The sequence below is a fragment of the Homo sapiens genome, chromosome 5, assembly GCF_000001405.40.
Source record: "Homo sapiens chromosome 5, GRCh38.p14 Primary Assembly".
In the NCBI taxonomy this organism is placed as follows: Eukaryota; Metazoa; Chordata; class Mammalia; order Primates; family Hominidae; genus Homo; species Homo sapiens.
The window spans coordinates 96495087-96522734 of NC_000005.10; the positions used below are offsets into that span (position 1 = coordinate 96495087).

General features: G+C 39.3%; 1 protein-coding gene and 1 long non-coding RNA gene across 12 annotated transcripts in view; both read left to right on the forward strand.

Annotated features, from left to right (window-relative positions):
- CAST (calpastatin) overlaps positions 1–27648 on the forward strand; it is an 813255-nt gene that overhangs the window by 533658 nt on the left and 251949 nt on the right. The window lies entirely within an intron of this gene.
- Positions 1–27648, forward strand: part of LOC101929710 (uncharacterized) — a 669085-nt gene that overhangs the window by 533086 nt on the left and 108351 nt on the right. The gene's annotated exons all lie outside the window — the stretch shown is intronic.

Here is a 27648-nt window from a genome sequence, read left to right on the forward strand (position 1 = left end):
TGCACTCCAGCCTGGGCGTCAGAGCGAGACTGTCTCAAAAAAAAAAAAAAAAAAGTGTGTCCATGTTATCAATATATTGTAATCAAGAAAACTCATGCAGAAAATATTTAGCAGACTTGTTAAAATAAGTGACTTGTAATACTGTTTTGTAGATCAACTGTTTTTTGTTTTTTGTTTTTTTTACTTTAAGTTCTGGGATGTATGTGCAGAACATGCAGGTTAGTTACACAGGTATACATGCGCCATGGTGGTCTGCTGCACCTATCAACCCGTCATCTAGGTTTTAAGCCCCGCATGCATTAGGTAGTTGTCCTAATGCTCTCCCTCCTCTTTCCCTCCACTCCCCAATAGGCCCTGATGTGTGATGTTCCCCTCCCTGTGTCCATGTGTTCTCATTGTTCAGCTCCACTTATGAGTGAAAACATGCGGTGTTTGGTTTTCTGTTCCTGTGTTAGTTTGCTGAGAATGATGGTTTCCAGCTTCATCCATGTCCTTGCAAAGAACATGAACTCCTTCTTTTTTATGGCTGCATAGTATTCCATGGTGCATATGTGCCACATTTTCTTTGTCCACTCTATGATTGATGGGCATTTGGGTTGGTTCCAAGTCTTTGCTATTGTAAATAGTGCTGTAATAAACCTAAGTGTGCATGTGTCTTTATAGTAGAATTGTCTTGTGGATCAATTTTTGATTTGTATTCACAAAAATTATTTCAAGATAATATTTCTTTGAACAGAGAGGCTGTGGGAAGATTTGAAAATTAATTAAAATAATTGCTACAGATCTTCAATGCAGAGGCCATAATCAAGAAGTGAAGTTTCTTTAGCAGTATTTTCAATGTCCTTTAATTTTTTTATTGTCCTGAAAAAGAAAAGGCCTTTAATTATTATTGTCTAAATAAATTTATAGGTCACTGTTTGAAGTAAAGTAGTAAGAGTGAATATTTTCATATGTGATAAAAAAATACAAGTGGCTGGTCATAAAATTTGAAATTAACCTCCTTGGCTGTAATCTTATGTCTATAAAGTAAAATTTAAGTATATAATTGTGTACTGATTACAAAATCCATAATAAATGTCATTTTATTTTAGTCTTTATTTGAATTATTATTCCATTTACTCTATTTTCATATAGTTTTAATTTTATCATATTTTGTTGTTACTCTATTATTTTCAAAAATCTTCAAATTATAATTCATTGTACAGTTGAAGAAATTGGTACTTGAAAGAAATATTTCTTATTGCACAGGGGTAGTTGGAAAAACTTTTCTTTTTGTTGCATTTAAGGAAATTAGCTTTCTGGCCCCTCGGCTTCTAATTTTCTTGATCAACCCTGTTACATCAAGATAGAGGTGGAATTTCTGTAAAAGAAGAGACATTAACAGTTCCTGAAGTTTTTCTGGCATATGGATAGGCTTAGACTCAAAACATTTTGGTCATAAGGCTGCAAATGCAAAGTGGAATCACTAAGTAGTTTTTACTAAGTTTCTAATATGATTGCAGGTGGATATCAAAATAAGACAAATGCTGTCCAAGGAAAGAAAACATTGGCAAGCTTTTAAAGAAAGTGTGGATAGAACTTCTGCTTATACAGCACTGTGAAACATCTATTATCATCTATTCTATAGATGAAGAAACCGGTTAGGTTACTTGCCCAAATAACTTTTTTATTTATGGAAAATATTCGTCTTTAGAATTAGCATATTTATTGCAATTTGGGAGACAGATTAGACCTAGAAACACTGTTTTGCTTTTTTTTTAGGGGTGTTAGTGCTGTATTTTTTTTTATTATACTTGAAGTTTTAGAGTACATGTGCACGACGTGCAGGTTAGTTACATATGCATACATGTGCCATGTTGGTGTACTGCACCCAGTAACTCGTCATTTAACATTAGGTATATCTCCAAATGCTATCCCTCCCCCCTCCCCCCACCCCACAACAGGCCCCAGTGTGTGATGCTCCCCTTCCTGTGTCCATGTGTTCTCATTGTTCAATTCCCACCTATGAGTGATAACATGTGGTGTTTGGTTTTTTGTCCTTGCCATAGTTTGCTGAGAATGATGGTTTCCAGCTTCATCCATGTCCCTTCAAAGGACATGAACTCATCCTTTTTTATGGCTACATAGTATTCCATGGTGTATATGTGCCACATTTTCTTAATCCAGTTTATCATTGTTGGACATTTGGCTTGGTTCCAAGTCTTTGCTATTGTGAATAGTGCCGCAATAAACATATGGGTGCATGTGTCTTTATAGCAGCATGATTTATAATCCTTTGGGTATATACCCAGTAATGGGATTGCTGAGTCAAATGGTATTTCTAGTTGTAGATCCCTGAGGAATCGCCACACTGACTTCCACAATGGTTGAACTAGTTTACAGTCCCACCAACAGTGTAAAAGTGTTCCTATTTCTCCACATCCTCTCCAGCACCTGTTGTTTCCTGACTTTTTAATGATTGCCATTCTAACTGGTGTGAGATGGTATCTCATTGTGGTTTTGATTTGCATTTCTCTGATTGCCAGTGATGATGAGCATTTTTTCATGTGTCTTTTGGCTGCATAAATGTCTTCTTTTCAGAAGTGTCTGTTCATATCCTTTGCCCACTTTTTGATGGGGCTGTTTGTTTTTTCCTTGTAAATTTGTTTGAGTTCATTGTAGATTCTGGATATTAGCCCTTTGTCAGATGAGTAGGTTGCAAAAATTTTCTCCCCTTCTGCAGGTTGCCTGTTCACTCTGATGGTAGTTTCTTTTGCTGTGCAGAAGCTCTTTAGTTTAATTAGATCCCATTTGTCAATTTTGGCTTTTGTTACCCTTGCTTTTGGTGTTTTAGACATGAAGTCCTTGCCCATGCATATGTCCTGAATGGTATTGCCTAGGTTTTCTTCTAGGGTTTTTATGATTTTAGGTCTAACATTTAAGTCTTTAATCCATGTTGAATTCATTTTTGTATAAGGTGTAAGAAAGGGATCCAATTTCAGCTTTCCACATATGGCTAGCCAATTTTCCCAGCACCATTTATTAAATAGGGAATCCTTTCCCTGTTTCTTGTTTTTGTCAGGTTTGTCAAAGATCAGATGGTTGTAGATATGCGGCATTATTTCTGAGGGCTCTGTTCTGTTCCATTGGTCTATATCTGTGTTTTGGTACCAGTACCATGCTGTTTTGGTTACTGTAGCTGTGTAGTATAGTTTGAAGTCAGGTAGTGTGATGCCTCCAGCTTTGTTCTTTTGGCTTAGGATTGACTTGGCAATGTGGGCTCTTTTTTGGTTCCATATGAACTTTAAAGTAGTTTTTTCCAATTCTGTGAAGAAAGTCATTGGTAGCTTGATGGGGATGGCATTGAATCTATAAATTACCTTGGGCAGTATGGCCATTTCCTTTGAAAGGATAAACCTCAACTCCAATTAGCTACTTAGCTCTTAGCCATGTAATTGCTATTGCATGTAATTGCATTTTCCCTCTAGAATTCAATATCAGGTTTAAGGCTATGGATCTCTGACTTGAATAAAGTAGCAGTGTGTAATAAAATATGTCAAGCAATAAAGATCAAGATAATACAATTGTACCATTTTATTTGTGGTAAATAATTATCTTGTTAACTAGTGATGCACCATTCAGATTTTCCTTCAGTGAAACAATGAACATCTTGTTGTCCTTACTGTTGCTAGTATGTCCGCTGCCACCCTTTCATAGCCAGCCCCTCTGAAATTGTGTTAATCCAGCCTCCAGGTCCAAGGCTACATGGCTCACATTCAGTGACTGATGGACATGGGGCTACAAAGGACGAGTTCTTTCTTTTGAACTCAAGACCACTATGGAGGACCATTCTTCTTCCAAATTTTTCCTGTGGGCTCAGTTTAGGATGTAGCTACCCAACACTTTCTTTCCCTTCTCCTTTACAGATGTTGATCCCAGAGATTTCTAATAAACATTGTGCAGGAAAAAAAAAAAAAAAGAAAAAAGAAAAAAAGAAAACATTGGCAAGCTTAGGGTTAAACAAAACTAAAATGAAAATAAAATAAATTTAAAAAAAGAACAGAATCAAACCAGAAATAGTCCTCTTAACCACACCTGCTAAACCTTTTTTAACGAGTTCCCTAGTGTGGAAGAATTGGGTAAAATATATAAATGAACATCAATCCTTTTCTAGACATTATACTTTTCTTTATATGAGCATACCTCTGAGATATTCTGGGTTTGGTTCCAGACCACTGCAATAAACAATTGCAATAATGCAAGTCACAAGAACTTTCGTTTCCAAGTGCATATAAAGTTATATTTGCACTATAGTGTAGTCTACTAGGTGTGCAATAGCATTTTGTCTTAAAAAACTGTGTCTTAATTTTAAAACTACTTTATGCTAAAAAGATGCTAACAATTATCTGAGCCTTCTGTGAGTTGTAATCTTTTTGCTGATGGAGGGTCTTGCCTCCACATTCATGTCTACTGACTGATCAGGGTGGTGATTGCTGAAGACTGAGGTGGCTGTGGCAATTTTTAAAAATAAGACAACAACGAAGTTTGTCTTATTGACTGACTCTTCCTTTTGTGAAAGATTTGTCTGGACTATGTGATGCTGTTGGATAGCATTTACCCATAGTAGAATTTATTTCAAAATTGGAGTCAATCCTCTCGAACCCTGCTGCTGCTTTATCAACTACATTTCTGTAACCTTCTAAATCCTTTGTTGCCATTTCAACAGCTTGGCTAACTGGTGCAAGAGGCCTAGCTTTCGGCCCATCTCAGCTTTCAACACAACTTTCCTCACTAAGCTTAATCATTTCTAGCTTTTGATTTAAGCTAGATCAACATGTGAGTCTTCCTTTCACTTGAACACTTAGAGGTCATCGTTGGGATATTAACTGGCCTAATTTCAATATTGTGTGCCTCAGGGAATAGGGAGACCAGAGGAGAGGGGCGGGTCCTTGGAGCAGTCAGAACACCCACAACATTTATCAGATAAGTTCGCCGCCTCATATGGGAGCAGTCTGTGGCCCCCCAAAAAAATTACAATAGTAGCATCAAAGATCACTGATCACAGATCACTATAACAGATAAAATAATGATGAAAACGTTTTGCAATGTTTTGAAAATTACCAAAATGTTACGCAAAGACAAAGTAAACACATGCTGTTGAAAAAGTGTGCCTATAGACTTGTTCAATGCAGGGTTGCCATAAACCTTCAATTTGTAAAAAATGCAATATCTGCGAAGCACATTAAAGAGAAGCACAATAAAACAAGGTATGCCTGTATAATTAACTGTATAGTAATATATTTATTAACAGTTCTACTCTATAGTGGCTGCTCACATATTCTAAGCTACTTTGTTTTGTGCTGTTGGTAGAGGAATGTTGTCTGTAATTGATGTCAACAACATTTGGATCTAGTTGTACTGGTTCTAGGACTGACATCATCAATAACCTAGGCTTTTCCACCTTTCTGCTCTTCACCATATTGATTTTCATCTTCAAGCTCGTTCCCTTATGGTCACAGAGGTTGGTCTCAGTTTCAGATATTGCTTTTGTGTGCAATCACCTCCAAACACAGGAAGGCTAATTTCTCTCCTTATGTGTCCCTTTGTCTCAGAGAAAAACTTTTCTAAGAATCTCCCAGTGACTTTGTCTTACATAACATTAGCCAGAACAAAGTCATGTGCTTAAATGTATAACTAATCACCGTCTCGGGAAATGGGATCGTAGCTGTTAAATGTGTAACTATGAAGTGCTAAGAACTTAAATGTGGGTTGTGATAATAGTCATGGAAATAGATGATGGAAAAGAGATATATTTTAAAGAACAATGTCAGATCATGTTGACTACAAAAGTCAGGAATGAAGATGAATCCAATGGCTAGAGCTTAGGTGACAAGAAATGCCTGGCTACTCCTCCCAGAGAAATGGTGGCCCCAGGGACTGGAGGTGGAGTGGGCTGAAGAGTGTGGCACCAAGTGCAAATAAAAATAAAGTTAACAAAGTCAGGTAGAGTGCCTGGCTGAGGCGTCAACCTGAAAACCCTGAAAACTTCGGCAGAATGGCCATATCTAGATTAAAAAGTTATGGGTCGGATACCAGAGGCATCAGACAAGGAAAGAGGTTACTGAATGAAAAGGCCTGAGACAACTATAAAATATTAAATAATACAGGACAAAAAAAACTTAAATATGTCAGTAACACAATAAATGTACATGGGCTAAACTCTTCATTTAAAGATTAGAAGTATAGATTTTTAAAAACTCTTATCTATAAACAATTAGTCAGAGACATACCTAAAAAATAAAACAGGCATAATCATCTCATACTAGTTAAATATCAGTCAAAAAAAACTTGTGGAACAACGTTAATATCTGACAAAATTTACTTTAAGATAAAAAGCATTACTAGGGATAGAAATGGTAACCATGCAATCATAAGAGGATCATTTCATCAGAAAGATATAAAAATTCTTCATTTGTGATAGCTGCAAAAATACAAAATGCAAAAATTGACCAGAGGAAAATGTGTTTTGTTTCTATATACACCAAATAAATCCCATTTTTTCTAAAGTAGAATAAACAGAGATAAGTAATGCAATGAACCCATCACTCAATTTAAGTAATATTCAAAAGGAAATGGACAAATCCACCATTAGAACAGGAAATGTTAAAACACTTCTTTTGGTATAGTCATGTGCCACATAACAGTTCAGTCAAGGACAGACCACATATACAACGGTGATCCCATAGGATTATGATGGAGCTGAAAAATTCTTATTGCCTAGTGAATTGTTACAATTGTCTACAGTATTCAGTACAGTAACATGCTTTGTAGCGTATTGTGTGTAGGTGTGTAGTAGGCTATATTATCTAGGTTTGTATAAGAGGTGTACACCTATGATATACCTACAACAACAAAGTCATCTAACAACACATTTCCCAGAGCATGTCTCTGTTATTAAGTACACAGGACTTTATTTTTCTCACATAAAAAATAGTCTGCAAAGATTTGGAACATTTGAAAAAAACACAATTGGCAAGATTGATGTGATAGTTCCACCCTGTAGATTTAACCTTTTTTCTCTCACAGCACTCATAACATAAATCCTGTACTTCAAATCTCTGACTACCTTCTCTTCCATCAAATAAAAATAACACATAATTCTACCCTCTTGCCTTGGCCCACATTGTTGTCCAGCCTCCAAAGGCAAAGAATATCTTGACGTGTATTGTCATTTGTTTTTCTCTGGTTGCTTTTGTTTATATTATTATTTGAACTAGGTTGTAAGCTGTTTGATAGCAGAAACAGGATCTCAGGACAGGACTGAGTTCATAGCAGTATTTCTTTTTTAATTAAAGGATTTTAATTTTTAAAAATTCTTTAATTTTAATTAATTTTTTATTTCTTAAAATTAAAGATTAAAGAAATTGTTTAATTAAAAAACAGTGCATGTTCTTTGTCACAAATGAACAATTCAAAGATGTATAAAAAAAATTAATGCTTTTCCCCCATCCTACTCTGTTAAGATAATCAAGGTTAGCAAGTTACCTAGTCTTTCTTTCTTTCTTTCTTTCTTTCTTTCTTTCTTTCTTTCTTTCTTTCTTCTATCCATCTAAACATTGACCTCTATCTGCTTTTGGGGGTGAGGTGGGAGTTTATGTTTTTTACTAAATATTAGATCTACTACATGTATTACTTAGAAACATTTGCAAGCATAAAAGACTATGGAAATTTTTGCCAGATTAATCAATATGACTCCAACTCACTTCTTTAAATATCCACATGGCACTCTATAATACAGATGCCCTATAATTCTTCATCCCTCTTTGATTCATGGTTCATGGCTTTGGGTTGTTTCCAGTTTTTCTGCCATCCAACAAGCTGGTGCTTTTCATTTCTGTGAGTTTAATTGCAAAGAGGAGGACTTGGGGGTCTTTTCTGATTTCTTTTTAAGCTTAAAAAGCTAGTTGTTGGTTGCCTTACTAAAAGGCTACTGTAATTTACATTCCCACAAGCAATATATGGAAGGCCTGCTCCTTGTCTTCAGAGTACTGTAATACCTTTCAATCTTTTTAAATTAGAAATGTAAAAACTGGTATCTCATGTTTGCTTTAGTTTGTATTTCACTAGTTACTAGGAGTTTCAAGCCTTTTCCTATATTGATTTTCACTTATATGTCCTTACCCATGAATTGTTTGTTTTTATTCTTGGCTCATTTTCCTCCTTTTTGCCTCAGAAGTACTTGTTCACAATATATTCTCCTATGTAAGGTGAAGGTGAAAGGGGGTGGCCAGCACAAATCCTCTTTGGCCTGAATTATTTGAGCTCTGCCTTAAACCTCCCTTTTTTCTTTGGCTGTGAAGACATGGTTCCATTTCTCTGGGAAATTGAATGCCCCCATTAAAAAGAAAAAGAAAAGAGAAGAAAGGGGGAAAGAAAGCTCTTACCCACCTCACATAATCCTCTTTGCTATCCACAAAGTCTGCTGCTGCTACACGATTCCCGTGGGATTTCTATTCCAGCAACCAAAGAGCACGGCATAAAACCCACCCACAGAGACCTCACAGTCTGAAGTGCCAGTGTTCAGAAACCATCCGCTTAATGTCGTGCTGCTCTATTGAAAAATGCGGACTCCTTCTGATAGTCTCACTTGAGGGAATAGAAGCCCAAGCGCAGCAGCCCAAATGACAGGGCTCACGCCTTCCCCTCCACCATGCTTTTATCCCACCTTTCCAACACCTCCACCCTTTTAGTCCTTTCCCTGGCCTGCACCCCACCTTTCATATTTCGTAAGAGCGCTTCACTCTCATTCCTGACATTAACGAGCTTCAAGCTGATTTTTGCAAAAAAGAAGAAGAAAATGGAAAAAGAAACCTCATCTTGTAGCCAATATGCCTCCAGCAGGCTTTCCCACAGAGAGAGAAGTGACTCTCCAGGCTGCAGGGAGGCTGACATGCAGGCCAGAAGGCAGCTGTCTGCTTTATTGAAATGCCACCTTGACCATTGTGTGCTTTCTCTGAGGGCCGATTGATATTGTTTGAATGCACGGCCTATGACATGCTTTGTTTCTTATGTCCATTGGTCCTCTCAGCAGGCCAGCTGGAGGGAGGAGAATTCGAATCTTGCTGCCAGTCCTACCTTATCACTCTCCACCCTCTCCCCAGCGCTATCTGGCCCCATCAGCTTTTTCAAAAAGACCTCACCGGCACATCCAGTTCAGCACAGATATTGTCTCTTTTCTCATTTCCCATACACGATGGCAGTTTATCCTGTGATCCTGTCAAAAAAAAGTCCTCCAAAGAATTCCAAGAGGTAACACAGATGTGCTTGCACATTTCCACCCACACAGGAACCAGCTTGAAATGTCAGATGATCACTGTGTTTGAGCAAATATTAATTTCCTCATGAGCAGATTTTAAATTTGCAATCGTATCCCAAGGAAATCGTTTGTGCTTAGAATACTTTTTTTTTTTTTTTAACCTAACGTGTTTTTTTGTTCATCTTAAAGACAGACCACTGCCTAAACAACGTATTCCTCTTCCCCCTTCTCATAGATTTATTGAGGTATAATATAACCATAAAAGTCACCCACTTGAAATGTACAATTTGACAAGATTTGGTAACGGTACACACAGTTGTGCAACTGTCACCACAGTCCACTTTCCCCAAAGTCTCATCATCTCCAAAATTCCCTCTTGCCATTTGCTGTTGATTTCTGCTCCCACCTCAAATCCAGGCAACAAATGATGTGCTTTCTGTATCTGTTGTTTTGCCATTTCTAGAAATTTCGTATAAATGGAATAACACAATATGTAGCCTTTGTGTCTAGTGTGTTTTTGAGGTTCATTCACGTTGTTGCTCATATGAGTATTTTGTTATTTTTTAATAGTCAGCTACCAGTGTGGCCATTGTGGGTAGATCACATTTTGTTTATGCGTTCACCAGTTGATGGATCATTGATGTATTTCCAGTTTTTGACTATAGTGTCTCTGCTATGAACATTTCAATATAAGCCTTTGTGTGGACACATGTTTACATTTCTCTTGGGTAAATGTAAAGGAGCCGAACTGCTGGATCAAATGGTTAGCATGTGCTTAGCTTTCTAAAAAGCTGCCAAACTTCAAAATGTTAAAAAATAAAACCACGCCTCATTTTCAAGGTTGTATTGGCCATGAAATCACCCAATCTCAAAGAATAAATAAAAATTTTGAGCATAATTTAGCAAAGTTTTTAGACATAGAATCATGAGCAATAAAAGTAGTAGAACTTTAGCCGGGCATGGTGGCGGGTGCCTGTAATCCCAGCTACTCAGGAGGCTGATGCAGGAGAATCACTTGAACCCGGGAGGTGGAGGTTGCAGTGAGCCGAGACCCGCCACTGCACTCCAGCCTGGGCAACAGAGTGGGACTCCGTCTCAAAAAAAATAATAAAAATAAATAAAATCTAAGGAAAAGGAATATTATTAAATCCTCTTCTGTCACTGCTGAATCTTTAGCCCATAGAGAAGGGCCTTTTTTAGAACTCTGCTGACAAAGGAAAGGCATAGAATCACCACTGGTTCTCAGTTCTTTTGCCTCCACTTTCTGTGCCCTGCTTCTGTGCACTGAGCCTGAAGGGGCCTCTTTCAGAGATCTCAGGCTAAAAGGACCCAGTTGAGGCTGCTCCTGAAGAGGTAAGAGCAGAAGGGTTTTGGGTGCACAGGCCTTGTCAGTCCTACTGCCGCCAGCTGGGTGGAAGCTACATCCACAGGCTTCATCAACAGGGCACCTTATGGGTTTCCTCAGCCTCCTTCTAACAGCCTTCTGAATGCCTGGGAAGTGATAGACCAGGATTTCCCTGACCTTGGAGTACCTGAGGATTCTAGATCCCTGGGATCAGAAAAGAAGCTAAACTCTGCCCTGGTGGTTTGGGATGACAAGGCCATGGCACTAGAGAAAGAAGAGATTTTTCCAATTTTATTTCTGCTACCTACAAGTTTTATGTTCTTAAGCAAATTATGAACCTTTCTAGTTTTCCATTTTTCCCCGTCAGGGTAGCTGTGAGGATGAAGTGGGATAATGAGAGGCTGCACATAACACAAGCTCTTTGATGGCAGGAATATTTGTATAGATCCCAAGAACCTAGAACAGTGCCAGGCACATAGTAGGTATTTCAAAAATGTTCATGGAATGATTGAAGTACTTAGCAGAATTCCTGAAGAGATTCTTGGTTCATTTGTTCAATCTTTTGCATAATATTTATTGAGCACCTACTAATGTTTTAAAGAGCTAAGCTGAGGCACCAAGTATCAGAGCAGCTGATTAAGACAATTAAGCTCAAATGAAAGTAACAATCAAACCTATAATCCCTTACTATAAGAGTATTAGCAAGAGGAAGTTGGAGGAAGCACCAACCCCCTTTCTGTTTCATTTTTCTCTGTGGAATGACACCAGTGAGGGTCAGATGGATCAACACATATGTAGGGAACTGTCTCACTATCAAGGGAGTCCTGACCAAAGATTCCTGCCATCTTATGGAACCAGGGGGAGGGGAGAGGAAGGGAAAGAGCTAATGTGGGAAAGTACTGAGTCAGAGTGGAGAGGCTTCTCCTCCCACTATGAGGAGGTCTCCTCCTCCCACTATGAGGAGGTCTCAGCAGTGGCACCCGAGAAAGTCTCTACTGAAGGACCCCAGTAAAAAGACCTCCACATAGAGGCTTCCTGGGCTAGGAATGCAGATACGTCTAAGAACAAGGCTGGCCAGGGGGCCTGAGGCTTTGACTGCAATTCCCTCAGAGGCTGCAATGCATGGGCCCATACACTAAGCCTGGTGTGGGGAGGGCAGCTTCCATATGAGGCCTGGAAAATCACACACAGGTTTTGTCCAGGAGCCAAACTCCTAAAGATTGCTATTGAAGAGCAGATATGGCCTCTGCCCTCACTAAAGTGTGCAAACTATTGAGTAGGCACACCATAGCCAAATAAACACACAAATAAATACATAATTGCAAATTATGATGAGGGTGGGGTGAGGGTGGAGGGGATGAGAAACCAGAGCCCTCGGGGAGGATGACAAAACACTCCTGTATTGGCCCGAATGCTCAAGTCAGCACCCTCGGAAGGGAAATCCAAGCTGAGACCTGGGGATGAGAAGGAGCCAGCTGCATTCACGTCGGGGAGAAGAGGTTGGGAGAAAAGGGGCACGTAAACTAAATATTCACTCTACCCTGTGTTACATCAGGCTGCCATGCTTGAGGGGCCAAAGTGACTTACCCTGAGCTTCATCCAAATCTGTGTAATAAGTCATCACTTTGTAACCATTTTTTCTTTGATGTACAAAACCAGAGCATCCAGTCGAATCTTACCTGTGGTTAAACAGATCATGAATACATATGAGTCAGGTGTTCCCAGGATCTCAACAAACTTTTATAAATGGGAATGAACCCACTTTGTGTAGGTCTGTGGAGAGCACCAGAAGAATAGTTTTCGCTGAATGAAACTCCTTAGCGTTGTTGAGCCCTTTCTGAATATTAGAGCTGGGAGATGCTGCAGAAATCAGGGGTTACTTCTGACTTTAGGGAGAAAGGATGAGTCTATGACTATTTTCCTCACCTAAATAGGACTCTGAAAATTACCCAGGGTGCTCTGTCCTCCTGGGCCTGTATTTGTAAGCCTCGGATGCAAAGGTTATTGTCAAGAGTGGGGTAGGCTTTCCAGTAATTATGAAAAGCCATTCACACATAGCAAAGAAACACTAGCACTTATTGTAAATCTGAGTTTGTATCAAAATTTTTTAATCCACTCCCTTTCATGATCATAGTTTACCGTCAGTAGAAGGTGCCAATTCATTTCACAAAGCCCTAACACACATCTAAATTCTCAAAACTTTGTTTCTAGAGTTCTCTTTGAATAACATTGGATTGTGCCACTAAACTAGTTATATCCCTGACATTATTATTATTATTATTATTATTATTATTATTATTATTATTTTATGTTATGTAGAGACAGGGTCTTGCTAAGTTGCCCAGGCTGGTCTTGAACTCCTAGCCTTAAGGGATCCTCCCACCTTGGCCACCCAAAGTGCTGAGATTACAGAAGTGAGTCATTACACCTGGTGTGTTTTTTTGTTGTGTTTTGTTTTGTGTTTTAAATGAGAAAATGATGCTGCAAAAGGAGAACGGACTTTGGAGCAAGCCAGGCCCAAATTCTAATCCTGACTCTGTCCCTTCCCAGCGTGTGACTCAGGCAACGTCCTTGTTTCCCTGATTCTCAGTTCCTTCACAATTGGATTGGCTGCCTCTCCCAGGGATGTGGTAAAGATGAAAGATAATTCATTCAGAGTACCTAGTACTTCATATGTGTTTAATAAATTGTAGCTACGATTATAATAGGAGTAGATTGCAGTCACCATGCATGCAACTTAAAGCATACTGAATTCACCACACTTTAAAATTTGAGACACCCAGTTGAATTTTGGGGAGTCCATAAAGTGAATTTCTGGAATTTTGTTCAACTCTCTTCTTACCCTAGATATGTGATTGGGAGAATGCAGCTTGTAAAGAAAAATTCTCTTAAAGGCCCATAGACAGTCTTATTGGCTAGTACAGGTTAGGCATGGGGTTAGAGAGGCGCTACATCGGGGAGGAGGTATTGTGGAAGTTGGAGGGTCTCAGGAAGGCACAGTTCCCCTTCCATCCCTCCTGAGAATAATGCCACCTTTGTTTCTTCCTGGGTCTTAATTAGAGTCATAAGCTTGTAAAGTGAAACATGGCAGAGTAGTTAAGGGTGCAGACTTATTAACTAAAATGGAGGGGAGAAAATATTGCCTTTGCTACTTCCCAATCATGTGACCTGAAGTAAGTTGCTTATCCAATCTATGTCTCACTTCCTTGCTTGTAAAGAGGAATTTAGAATAATAACATTTTCTATTTCAGATGGTTGTTTTGAGAGCGATTTAAACAGTTAATACATGTGCTTAAAATCGTCAGGCCACAGGTAAGTGATATCATTGTCATAGGTGTAAAATTATCTTTCAAAGTGAATCCTAAAATATTCTCCATTGTAATTTTGAAGTTTCTAAATCTGTAATTTAAAGATAAAATACTTTAAATAATCTCTGTCACACATCGTGCAAAAGAGAAACAGCAATTACGATCAGCAAAGAACAGACCCAGTAAATAGCCAAGAGGGCTACAATCTGAGGAATAGGTCTTTGCAACCGGTGAAGTGACTGATCCATGCTTCCCTGCAGCACAACAACGGAGGTGTCAGGGTTAATTATTGTAAACTATCTAGTGGTTCAAATCCAATTTTAAATGGTCTGGATGTGTATAAGGCTCTGAATTTTAATTTGTCTTTGAAAAAGTACTATCTCAATTTTTAAAATCCCCCTGAGCTCTGTGACTCATACCACCAGAAATCTGACCTTTCAACCAAAGGGGGAAAAATCTAAGTTGTTACCTCGACAACAAAAGGTAAGCAGGATGCTTTGAGCTCTGGTGCTTCTGCTATAAATAATCCATCTTTGGCCAAAGAAATATAACATGAGCATGGAGGGGAATAACCTGGATTGGCTATGGGAACAGTCTGCATTTCAGGAGATCATTTTAATCACAACTTTTAGGAATCATTCCCAGAGGCACTTTTGTGGCAATTAACCAAGAAATCAATAAGAAGGAATGAATTCAATTTCTAAAACGGAATTTACACAAATCAAGACTGATAATGCTTTTTCATGTGAGAAATTTCTCTGTATGTATTTGTACCGTTGTCTAACTTCTGTTGTTTTTCTTTAAAATAATTGTTCTCTGGTTTCCCAACAACCTCTAAACCAGAACAAAGAGATGCTAACAATGAACTTTGGTCCTTTAGCTGTAATTTACACGGTCTTACCCTACACAGTAGCAGGAAAGAAACAGCAATAAAGTTGGAGGACTTTTATAACGTTGTGGATTTTTTTTTAAAAAAATAAGAAATCAAAGTCCTCTTTTGGTAGAAAGTCACAATATACTATTGAATTTTTTTAACCCAGCTGTACACATGGATAGATTTAAGATTTATAGTTGTGATTATCCTTTTGCTTGCTGACGTAAATTAGTCTTCTGGGAAGTCCAAGTTATTTCTCAATAAGCTGTAATAGTCTGTGAGTCAGAGTAGGTGCTGCTGATGAGTCTTGCAGGATTTATAGGAAGGCAACTGAGAAATTGAGGGGCACATTCATCCAATGGCCTTTGGAAATAGTGCATAAAAATATTTCCTGAATAAGAGTCTTTGCTCCAGTAGATTCTAGCTGCTTTTCAGTAAATACAATTCACCCAGGAAAATTTCCTAAAGTAACCTTCCAGTTTGATGATATTCTCCACGATTATTAATGTTTCTTATTATTGTAGCAGGGTGAGAATATCTACGCTGAAGCTCTGGTGAGCAAAATAGGATAATGGTTTGTTTTTTTCCCACCGATCTTGTTTTGTTCTTAAGTTCCTACTCTTGATGATACAAGGGGACTGCTCTAGATTAAAAGACACTTAAGAGACATAATAACAAAATGCAGTATGTGGATTAAATCCCCATTCAAACAAGCCAACTGCAGAAAGGCAATCCAAAACAATCAGGGACATTTAATATGAACTGTATATTAGATAATTCTTGAAACAATTGTTAATTGTTTAAGATGTGATAACAGCACTGTGGTAATGGTTAAAATTGCCTATATTTTTTGACATGCACACTGACGTTTGTACGAATAAAATGACATTATGTCTGATATTTGATATTAAATATTCTATCCAAAAAAAGGGGTGGATTATAGAAAAAACAAGACTGAGAAAAATCTAGAATATGAGTGAGGTGTATGTGGGGTTTATTATACTATTTAATTTATGTGTATCTTTGAAAACATTCATCATTTTTTACAAGTCTCTTCCAGCCTAAAACTGTCCCTCTCTCCTCTCTCTGATTCTAATCCACTCCTGGCTTGTGTGGTCCACACTGTGGCTCTCAGCCACTGTCACATTGCTCCTCCCATAGCCTTTGTGTTTCTCCTTCATGAGTTAGTAAAACAACAAAACAAAACAAAAAACACATACAAAAAAACAAAGACTATATTCTTTATTTATTTTTTTAGACGGAATCTCGCTCTGTCACCAGGCTGGAGTGCAGTGGTGCGATCTCAGCTCACTGCAACCTCTGCCTCCCGGGTTCAAGTGATTCTCCTGCCTCAGCCTCCTGAGTAGCTGGGACTACAGGCGCCCGCCACCACGCCTGGCTAATTTTTGTATTTTTAGTAGAGACGGGTTTCATCATGTTGGCCAGGATGGTCTCGATCTCTTGATCTCGTGATCTACCTGCCTCGGCCTCCCAAAGTGCTGGGATTACAGGCGTGAGCCACTGCACCCCATCCACAAAGACTATATTCTATCCACAAGGTTTGAAATATAGTATGATGCTAGCATATTGTGTTATATTTCACCAGCAAGTACTCTCAGCTATTTCTGCATGCCACCACCCCTCTCCTAACCCCTCCTCTCCCAGACATGCAGGAACTTCTAGATCCCAACACTCCAGGGGAAAGTCTTGGAGAATCAGTGGAATAGAAAGGACATTTTATGCTATCCTTCAAGCACCTTTCTTAGCCAATTTTACTCTACTCCTAATTGCTCTGTTGGAGATAGTAGCTCAACACTAGCCTCTGGGCTTCTCTGAGAAGCATGCAATCTTTCCAGAATGACCTAGAGAAAGACAAATCAAGACTTTGGTTCCAAAATCACCCTAGATTTATCTGAGTGCTTCTCTCTCATCCTCCGAAGCTTGGTCCCCAGAGCAGCAGAGAAACGAAGTCCTTCACATCCAACCTCTTGCTCTTGTCTTTCTTTTCCTCCTGGCCCGGTTACCTGGCACAGAAAGCCTTCTCAAAAGGAAATGGCATTGAAAACCATATGAGACTATCCCATTTGAGTATGTGTTCATTGTCTGTTTTCCTCACTAAAATGAAAGTTCTGTGAGTGCAGAAATTTTAATCTGCTTTGTTTGCAGTTGTATCTCTAGCACTAAAGCAGTGTTTGATATAAAGGAGGTGCTCAATAAATATATACTGAACAGTAAATGAACAATCACTGTATACAGTTTTCCATAGTACTTATTTTAGAAATTGCACATGTATTAGTATAAACTTGATTAATGTTGATTTCTTCCACTAAAACTGTTACCAATGCATGCCTAGTAAAAATGAACTTGCATGCTTGGTAGACATACAATTTCTGATTCTTTCCCTGAGATTGTGATTCTGTAGGTCTAGGCTGGAGCTTATAAACCTGTATATTTTGCAAGTGCTTCCCACCCTCAATCAGTAGGCCACTTCGGAAAACATGGCTCTAAGACATAAGTCCTAGAAGGGTAGTAGGGCTTATGACTGGAGATATATGGCACATAGTATAACCTCATTAAGTTTTGTTAAATAGATGAATGACTGACGGATAGTGGTCTCTTTGTGACTTGGTATTCTCCTTTTAATAACTAGACAGATCTTTCCTATAAAAATTGGGTGAGTTAACTAATGAAAAACCATCATTTGATTTTCTAGCATCATATTATACTTCAAATCTTGTGGGTGGAATGTAGTCTTTTATTACTACCTCATTAACAAGAAACACAAAATGTGACTATCAAGATATCAGCCATGTTCCTTTCCAAAGCTGAAGTTAAAGTATTTACTAAGCCATAACAATTAAATACTTAGTATTAATATCAGTAATTAAATCTTTAGTATGAATAATCATGAAAGAGGAAGTAAATCTCCTGTCACCTTTTCAGATATTAGGAACACAAACGAAGATTTTTTTCAGTTTTGTTCTGAAAACATGTAGCAGATGAGTAATTAGACATAATACATAATGGCTATCATTTCTCTATTACCATCTTGATATTTCTGTACTTAAGATCCAAGCACTATGACTACATGAGCAGGGAGGCAGCCTGAAACCACAGAACAATCATGGGACTTGGGGACAGAAAATCTGCTTATCACTCATTTGGGTCCTGATTATCATTCATTCTCGGGTCCTGATTATCACTCATTCGGCTGCTAATTGGTTGTATGACCTTTGTCAAGTCTTGTTCCCTCTGCCAGCCTGGTTAGTGGGGGTTGCATTAGTGGATTTCTGAAATTTATCCCAGTTTTTGCATCCTGTAGCTTCTGTATTCATGAGCAAGCCACTGCTGTAGGCACTGGGGCTACCACAGCGAACAGAACAAACACATATCTGTCCTTGGAGAGTTTATATTCTAGCAGGAGGAGACAGACAATAAAAAGCACAGAAGTTAAAATAAATAGACAGATAGATGGGTTCCATGGGGAAATACAAAGCAGGGAAAAGAGTGCAGGGGTGATACCCTTGACTAGGATGGGCAGGGAAATCTCCACTGAGATTTGGGTAAATCAGTTACCCCCTAACAACAAATAAGTCACTGGTCAGGTGCATTAAGCAAGACTGTGGCCAGAAGCAGACAATGTAGCTAAAGGCAACTGGGTATAAATACAAATTCCTATAAGAGCCACAGAAAAGTAAGCCAGTCAAGTGCTACCTCTGGAGAAGATGGTAGTTACTCGGCTCCACCCTCATTGCCAGTCTTGCCAGATCTGCTCTGTTCCAAGAGAAAATGAAAGTCTGAATTTTTATATAAAAAGTCCTGATTTTTTTGAAAAATCTTAGCTTATTTGTTTCCTAGGGTTGCCATAACAAAGTACCACAAACTGGGCAGCTTAAAATAACAGATATTTATTCTCTCGCCGTCCTAGAGGTTAGAAGCCCCACATCAAGATGTCTGCAGGACCATGCTTTCTCTAGGACTGTGGATAGAATCCTTTCTTGCCTTCTAGCTTCTGGCAGTGGTCAACAATCCTTGCCATTCCTTGGTTTGCAGCTGCATGAGTCCAATCTGTGCCTTGGCTGTCACAGAATACTTTTCTGTTGTATGTGTAGGTGTCAGTGCCTCTTCTCTTCTGTTTACAAGAACACCAGTCACGTTGGATGAAAGGCCCTCTGTGCTCCAGTATGACCTCATCTTAATAACTACACCTGCACTGACCCTATTTCTAAATAAGGTCACATTCTGAGGTATTGGGGGCTAAGGACTTCAACGCATATTTTTAGGGGCACAATTCAACCCATAATTGCTATCAGTTAGTTTAAATATTTTTTCATACTGCATTAGTTAACATTACGTAGGACAAACAAATTAAGTACGTGGTTCACAGGTTATTCATTTATGAGTGCTGGACCAGAGGTTAAGGAGCCTGCAAAAATGAATGTAAGCTTGAGGAGGGCAGGCATAACTCTGTCTATTCACCCTTACACCCAGAACCTACCACAGTGCCTGCCCAAGTATTTGCTTATTATTTCTAATAAGTGAATGAATGAATGAATGATATTTCTTTTATATATCCAAATATCTGGAAGGGTATTCTATTACTAGAGAGAGAACCCAATCTTACTTGTAGTTGATCAAAACTATACTCAAATTTAATCATTTCTGCAGATTTCTACTCAAATTTAAATAGAGCTATATAAAATTATAACCCCCACCCTTAACCCAGCACTCCCTGCCTTGGATCCTACTGTATCATGAGACTTATGCCTGTGTCTGAGATGCCCCCCAGCCACTCTATTGTGTTTGTGCTATTTCCTCTTGCTTGTTTGTTTGTTTGTTTGTTTGTTTTTTGTTTCAGACAGTGTCTCGCTCTATTGCCCAGGCCCAGGCTGGAGTGCAGTGGCACAATCTCTGCTCACTGCAACCTCCACCTCCAGGGTTCAAGCGATTCTCATGCCTCAGCCTCCCAAGTAGCTGGGATTTCAGGTGTGCGCCACCATGGCCAGCTAATTTTTGTATTTTTAGTAGGGACAGCATCTTGCCATGTTTCCCAGCTGGTCTCAAACTTCTGGTCTCAGGTGATCTGCCCACCCTGTCCTCCCTAAGTGCTGGAATTATAGGTGTAAACCACTGTGCACGGCCAGTGCTATTTCTTAAATGTCAATCTTTCTCTTTTTCTGTGGTAGAGATTGTCCGTGGTTTGCCCAATACCCAATCTTCTCTTTTCTTAAACGCAGAAGGATGGGAGTGCTTCAAAAATGAAAAACCCAGGACAATTTGCCCAGCTGAAAAATAACACTTTTCAGCTGATTTTGTCAACAGGAATAGCTAATTAGACATAAGTTGGTAGTCCTGGGGATGAAAATATTGGGGAACAATATTGTTCCCACAATGTTTGATTGTTTGTTTGTTTGTTTTTTGTGTCCTGTCCATCTAGCCTGTTTCCTGCTTGAAAGGTGAGCGTGATAAATGGCACAACAGCAGTCATTTTGGGACCATAAAGTGATCTTGACAATGGCAGCTACACAGTGTGAGTGGTAAAGCAGAAAGACAGAGAGGTTTGGCTTCCTGGTGCTATCTTGGAGCCACAGTATTCACGTCCAATATCTTCCAGACGTCTTTTCTGTGAGAGGAAAAGCAATCCCTAATTTATTTCAGCCTCAGTGCCAGTAATATTTCTGTTTTCTCCTAGACTCACTCCTGCCCTTTTCAGTTCCACTCTGCATTTTAGGAAATGATGTTTCCCAGGCTCCCTTGCCTTCTGCCTTGCAGCAAGGTTTAGTGAATGGGTTGGGTACCAGAGAGCAAGAGACAGGGAAAAGCCAGAGCATTTCTTCCCCTTCCTCCCTGCTCCTGAAGAGACTCTGGCAATGGGTACAAGTGTTCGACTCGTACACTTTCCCTGCCCTGAGACCAATTCACCCTTCTTTAAATTCTGTATTGGATCAAAACAAGAGTCCAAAGTCCTCATTCCTCCAACATCTTCTGTAGGAAATCTTGGGTGGAACCACTGATAAACTCTCCTATTAAAGCATTCTTCTAGACTTCTAGTGAGACATAGTCTATTCTCTCACCTTATGGCCCTACACCACTCACCTTATAGCCCTTGACCACAAATTTCAGTGCTTGATCGCCTCTACCCACCTTGGTTTTTCATACCCAAGAATATCAATAATGATTTTGCATCAGAGTCACTAAGTTGCAGAAGAATTATCTATGAAGAATAAAGCATCTCCTTAGATGGTGGCCATGCATTTCAGAGGGCAAAAATAATCATGTGCATATTCTTTCTATAAAAGCAATTATTTTTCTTCAAGTGAAAATTGTTTCAAGGGACATACAAATGCTGTGAACTGAAATGGAAAAACCAATACATTGCTCTGTTCAAAACATCTCTGCTCAGCTCAACGATCTCCCACACTCCTGAATAACGTGGTAAACTTTCCAGTTATGTGAAAATAAAAAAAAAATGAGAGTTGTTTGGAATAATTTCTTACATTTTTGGCATGTTGGTTTTTTAATTACTATGGAACAAAGAAGCATGTTGATGCATCTTTTGACATCCATTCTCATTTATCATGCAGAATTAGGAAGGTGAAAAAGTCTACATGTCAGTTAGTTTCTTAATGGTTGTTAGAGTTGTTTTGCAATGGCAGGATGATGTGCCCTAAATGACACAATGTTTTTAAAGAAGAAATGCAATTAATTCACTCTTAACTCCCTCTCCCCGCTATCAAAAAATTGTCCTTGTTTGATGAAAATGCTGGGGAACAATGAAGAAGAATGTGTATGATTAAGTCAGTTGGCTAGAGTTCACGACTTGACAAGTTATTTGACTCAGCTCTAAAAGAAACGCACTTCTACTTCTAACATGCATTTGTATTTTGGAAATATGACACACTATTCTCACAGTGAAATAGGATGCTACTGGGGAAAATGCCCAGCTCTACTTTTTAGACTCCCAAAACATTAGATCTGAAAGGAACCACAGCAATGATTTTCTTTAACCCCTCAATGACATGACGAAGATGAGGATGGAGGTATCAGCCGACTGTTTCCAGTGTGCACACTAGGGTGAGCAATCATCTCGATTTCCCCAGCTCTCTCCTGGTTTTAGCAGTTACAGTCTCATAAGCCAAGAAAATCTTCAGTCTTGGAATGGTTGGATTTCTTAAAAGTAGATCTAGATTTCAGATCTTCTGATTACTAACTCAGTAATGTTTGTTCTACACATCTTTTTTTTTTTAACTAAGAATCTAGTTTTTCTACTGTTAAAAGACAATTTGTATATATGTTTAAGTACTAATTACATGTTCCTTACTTATTTAAGCAATGAAATACAAATGCTAGCTTTGGTTTCCCATATAAGACATGACCTAAATATTATTTCACTTCATTTTCTCTCCCATCTCTTTCCTTTTTATGCTTGGAAAGAAGTAGATTTGTGTTGTTATGCATGGCTTAGGCTGATAAATCAAATCAGGAGACGTTTCAAATAAACAAAATGAATTTGAGAGGTTATAAGTGTTTGCAAGTGTCACCGTGGAGACCAGAGAATGGATTGTTGCCATAGAGACTTCCATAAACACTCTGACTGTGATTATTTCCATGTGAAATCAGATATAGAGGAGATTTGGGAAGGAGGATACATAAATGGAGCTGGCACTCATTGTAGCTGGAGACGAGTTGTGTCAGAAGGCTGGAGGATGCTAAAGCAAGTTGACAGTGTGAAATGTGTCTGTGCTCATTATTGCTCCATCGATGAGCAGGAAAACACCTTCAGGGAGAACCAAGTTTAGAGGGTCAGGTGGGTGTGCTCCATCAGCTACTAAAATACTATAGGATTGGAGGTGATTCCCATTCACTCTTTCCCTCATTCATTCACATTGGCATCTACCATTGTTATAATAACAAGTTCTATAGCGTTGTGATACAATAATAATGACAGCATGTCTTTATTAAAATGCTTACCACATTACAGAGACTGTGTTAAGCCCTTTGTGAATATTATGTCATAGAAGCTGAACAACACTTATAAGGTAAAGCAGATATTATTCCCATTCTACCAACAAAGAAACTGAAACATAGAGAAGTTAATCACCTTGCCCAGGGGCACACAGCTAAAAAATGGTGAAGCCAGGATTCAAATCAGGTAGTCTGTTGGCAGAGCCCACATTCTTAAATATCACACTCTGATGAGAAGATGAAGTCTTTGTCTCTGAAGTATTTTACATCTAAATTTGGGAGAAAAAAACATAGTAGTGAAGACTAACACTAGGATGACGATATGTAATTCTAGTCATCTATACACATTTTAGCTAGTATTTATAGATTAACATCAACTTGAACCTCATACCCTTCCCTCTTCCTCCTCTACAGATATTATATCACTGAGATTCATATTTACAAAGAACACATTAGCTAGCCAAAAAGAAAAGAAATGCATTAGCATATCAATTAGATTATGGGATATCTGGGAGGGTGAGAGACTCGTGCTTCAACACCTTCCTACTTCAGTGTACACACAATTGTGATCAGCTTTGAATAAATTTTACCCTAAAATGTACATTTGAGCTTTCAGATGAATTGACTCAAGGGTGGGACCCATTTACAATAACACTGAGTCTTCCCTATAAGCTGTATATCCTCACAGAACACCTGTGGACAGCATCCCATGGCCAAGCAGTTATAATGATTGCAAAGGTTTATACATGGGATTCCTGGTGACCGTAGCAGGCTTTGTTTGGGGCCAACCAACCTTTCATGAGAAGGAGTAATATTGAACCCTGCTCAACAGCAGGCATCAAAAGAGTTTATTGTAGTCTTAAAGAATCGCTGTGAGGGGCCTGTAATCCCAGCACTTTAGGAGGCCGAGGCGGGTGGATCATGGGGTCAGGAGTTCAAGATCAGCCTGGCCAAGATGGTGAAACCCCATTTCTACTAAAAATATTTTTAAAAAATTAGCTAGTCATGGTGGTGGGTGCCTGTAATCCCAGCTACTCAGGAGGCAGGAGGCTGAGGCAGAGAATTGCTTAAACCCGGGAGGCAGAGGCTGAGGCAGAGAATTGCTTAAACCCGGGAGGCAGAGGATGTAGTGAGCTGAGATCGCGCCACAGCCCTCCAGCCTGGGTGACAGAGCGAAACTGTCTCACACCCACAAAAAAAAGAATGGCTGTGAGTATCAATAATTTTAGTTAATGTCCTTTGATTCAAATTTTCTGGAAGATTTCTTCACAGATTATTGATACACAGAGGGTCAACCTTCATTTTGCACAGATGAGTACTTGGCAGAGAGTGAAATATATAGAACCATCTTTCTCTGAAAAGAAATAAAAGACAATGTAAAGCCCACTGGTTTGGGACCAAAACAGGACCAAGTTATTATGAATATTAAATTAGAAAACAGGTATAGAGGCTGGCACCAAGCAAATATGCTGCAGCTGGTGGTTCATTTTGTCCACCATATCTAACCCAATGGGTGCTCTGAAGGTGAACAGAATTCCAGACTCGGCTTGTGTAAATCAAATTGCAAGCAGCTAATTTTGTCTTTAAGTCTTTGGATGCTGTCAGTTGTGTAATTGTTTTCCTTTTCATTTTCCTTTTAATTGAAAGTTTGTCGCAAAATATGTGACCACCTCTATCTAGCAAATGCATAGAATTTCATGGCATGATTTTTAATATACTCCACACCTAGCTCCGTCTTACTTTTTTTCTTCAAGATGGTGTCTCACTCTGTTGTCCAGGCTGGAGTGCAGTGGCATGATCTCAGCTCACTGCAGCTTACATCTCCCGGGTTCAAGCGATTCTCCTGCCTCAGCCTCCCGAGTAGTTGGGACTACAGGTGCTCGTGATCATGCTTTGCTAATTTTTGTATTTGTAGAAGGGATGGGGTTTCGCCATGTTGGCCAGCCTGGTCTCAAACTCCCAACCTCAGGTGACCCACCCACCTTGGCCTTCCAAAGTACTAGAATTACAGGCATGAGCCACTGCACCTGGCCTTACTTTCTAATCCTTATTTTCTCTTTCCCTTTTTAAAAAAACTATTTATTTGCATTCTGTCTCACTGTGTTATATGAATGTTTTTGTATTTAAATCCCTTTTTGGAAAAAAGTTGTCCAACCCCTTGGCTACTCCCATAATATCCTCAACAAAGCACCCTGATGTCCAAGATCCCCTCCTAGTCTTCATACGTCCAGGTTTTGTACTTGAGACTCCCTCAAAACCATTCCCTTTTTTGCCTGAGTTTTAGGCCAGCTGTGATTTTCTTAAATACAATGCATCTTTTATCTTTCAGAGGTTTCTCATTATTTCTAGTCCCTAAGCATCTCCCATTCTGTTTCCCAACACTGATTTGGATTTATTTTACTTTCTATTTGCTTCTGCTATGTCCGAGGGTGGGAGGGAGAGAATGGAGAATGTGCTCTGTCTGCTGTCTTCCTACAATGTCCTCTGCTCCTTTCTTCAGTTCAGATTTGTATTTCCAACAATGTTCTGAACACATACACTCAGATGCCCCACAGGGGCCTCAACTCATAATGTCCAAAAGGAATGCTTCACCTCAACCAGACCTGACTCTGAGTGTATGTATGTCTGTGTGTCAGTGTGTGTGTTTGTGTCAGTGTGTGTGTGTCTGTGTGTGTTTGTGGCTAGGTGTGTATGTGTGTGTGTCTGTGTGTGTGTGTCTGTGTACCTGTGTGTGTCTATGTATATGTGTGTGTGCTCCCTGCATAACCAAGAAGGAAAACATGTTGACATGTTAGATTCTGGTTTTTCCCCCTCTCAAATCTCTTTTACTGAATAAATGTCTAACTATCTGGTTATGCCATTCTAAATATTGAAATTCGTAGTTCTTTGTCATCATTTCATTGCTATAACATAATCCACCTACTGTGCATGACAGAATCCACCTACTATGTACAGGCACCATTCCAGACCCTGAATGGAGCAAGTTGACTTCATTCTTATTTTTAAAGTATATTTAATTTAATAGCTACCTCTATAATGTTTACTAGGTGCCAGGAGCTCTATTAAAATTCCATGAAATCCCATTGTAGTAGAAAACACCAATTAGTTACATGAGTCCTTCAAGACTCAGTTTAGGGCCTCTTGGAACCTCTTCTGAATCTTTGGAAGATTCAGAAGATTCAGGCTGCGCTAAGCCCAACACATCTTGTATAGACCACTACCCCAGCATGTTATGTTTGCCTCTTCCATGGACTGTGAGTTCCCTGAGGTGTGCTCTTCTTTTGATCCCTAGAACAGTGCTCAACACCAAATAGGAACTCAGTAAGTGTTGATTGAACACCTGTCAAACTAAGCCAATTTGATCATCTCACTCTGCTGCTTAAAACCCTTCAAAGAGTCACCACTAGTAAAAGCATGAGTCCAATTCCTCAGCATGGCACACAGTACTCTGCAGGCTGGCCCCATCTGTCCTTCTGGCCTCACCTTACCAGGTCCCCAGTCCTTCTCCCATTGCTCCAGGCACACCAAACTCTTTCTCACGTTCCCAAAGTAATGTTCTCCATAGTTTCTCGAGGCCTAGTATGCAATGCCCTACCTGACTTGTGTGTCTTTAATAAAGTCTTCTATTTTGTTCATGACCAAACTCAAAGATCACATATCCCCACATGTCACATGTTCCCCATAAGACTTGTGACTCTTGTTCCCACATAGTCACTTAGATTCATTTATCACATGATATTGCAATGATTTATTTATTTGTCTCTCACTCTTTCTCTCTCCTCACTCAATAGACCTTGAGTTCTTGAAGGATAAGAATTATATTTTACTCATCTTTGAATTTTCTCTGCTTTCATATGGCACATAATTCCTAGAATATAGCAGATAACCAAGTAATGTTTGATGTAATGAACTTATGAATGAATGGATTTGTGCAGCTCTTCACTGTGCTATATAAAATGACTAGGCCGGGTGCGGTGGCTCCGGACTGTAATCCCAGCACTTTGGGAGGCCGAGGCAGGCAGATCATGAGGTCAGATCGAGACCATCCTGGCTAACATGGTGAAACCCCATCTCTACTAAAAATACAAAAAAATTAGCCAGGCGTGGTGGCGGGCACCTGTAGTCCCAGCTACTTGGGAGGCTCAGGCAGGAGAATGGTATGAACCCTGGAGGTGGAGCTTGCAGCGAGCCGAGCTCGTGCTACTGCACTCCAGCCTGGGCGACAGAGCAAGACTCTGTCTCAAAAAAAAAAAATGACTAGAGAAAGGTCAAACCTCTGTTTATTTAATGTTTCTTCAGAAGGGAGGATTCAAGGCCTTAATTCTCAAAATTCTCAAATCGGATTGGGTACTTTTATTGTCAAGCGCCTCTTCTAAATAAACACATTTGCTTTCTTGGCTAGCCACCCACTCTCCATTTTTGTTACTTTTACAATGTAGAAAATTATGTGTCCTTGGAGTGTTTTTTTCCCACTTCTAGTAGAATCCCATGTCAGAACCATCACCTACTTATTACCTCCTACACAGTCTATACATAAGACATTGTTTGTTTCTTCTAGGCAAATCTCTATTAACCAATTTACAACAGTTTTAGGACGCTGTAGCCTATGTCAAGTCCGTATATTGGTAAAATGAATGTTGCACAGTAAAAAAAACAATAGTCATCTGTAAAGAGACTTTAAGAAAATGTAGCCTATGCTTTTCCTGGGCCTCCTGAACCTCAGGGTGAAAAGGGGTCATGTTAATGATAATAAACTTTCTCTAGTGCTGACCCCCACTAACCATCATAGGACCTCAAACTTTTTGCAAAACTTTCCATTCCATTCGCAGGTATTTCTGGAGGGTCCCCACAGAGCTTTGCA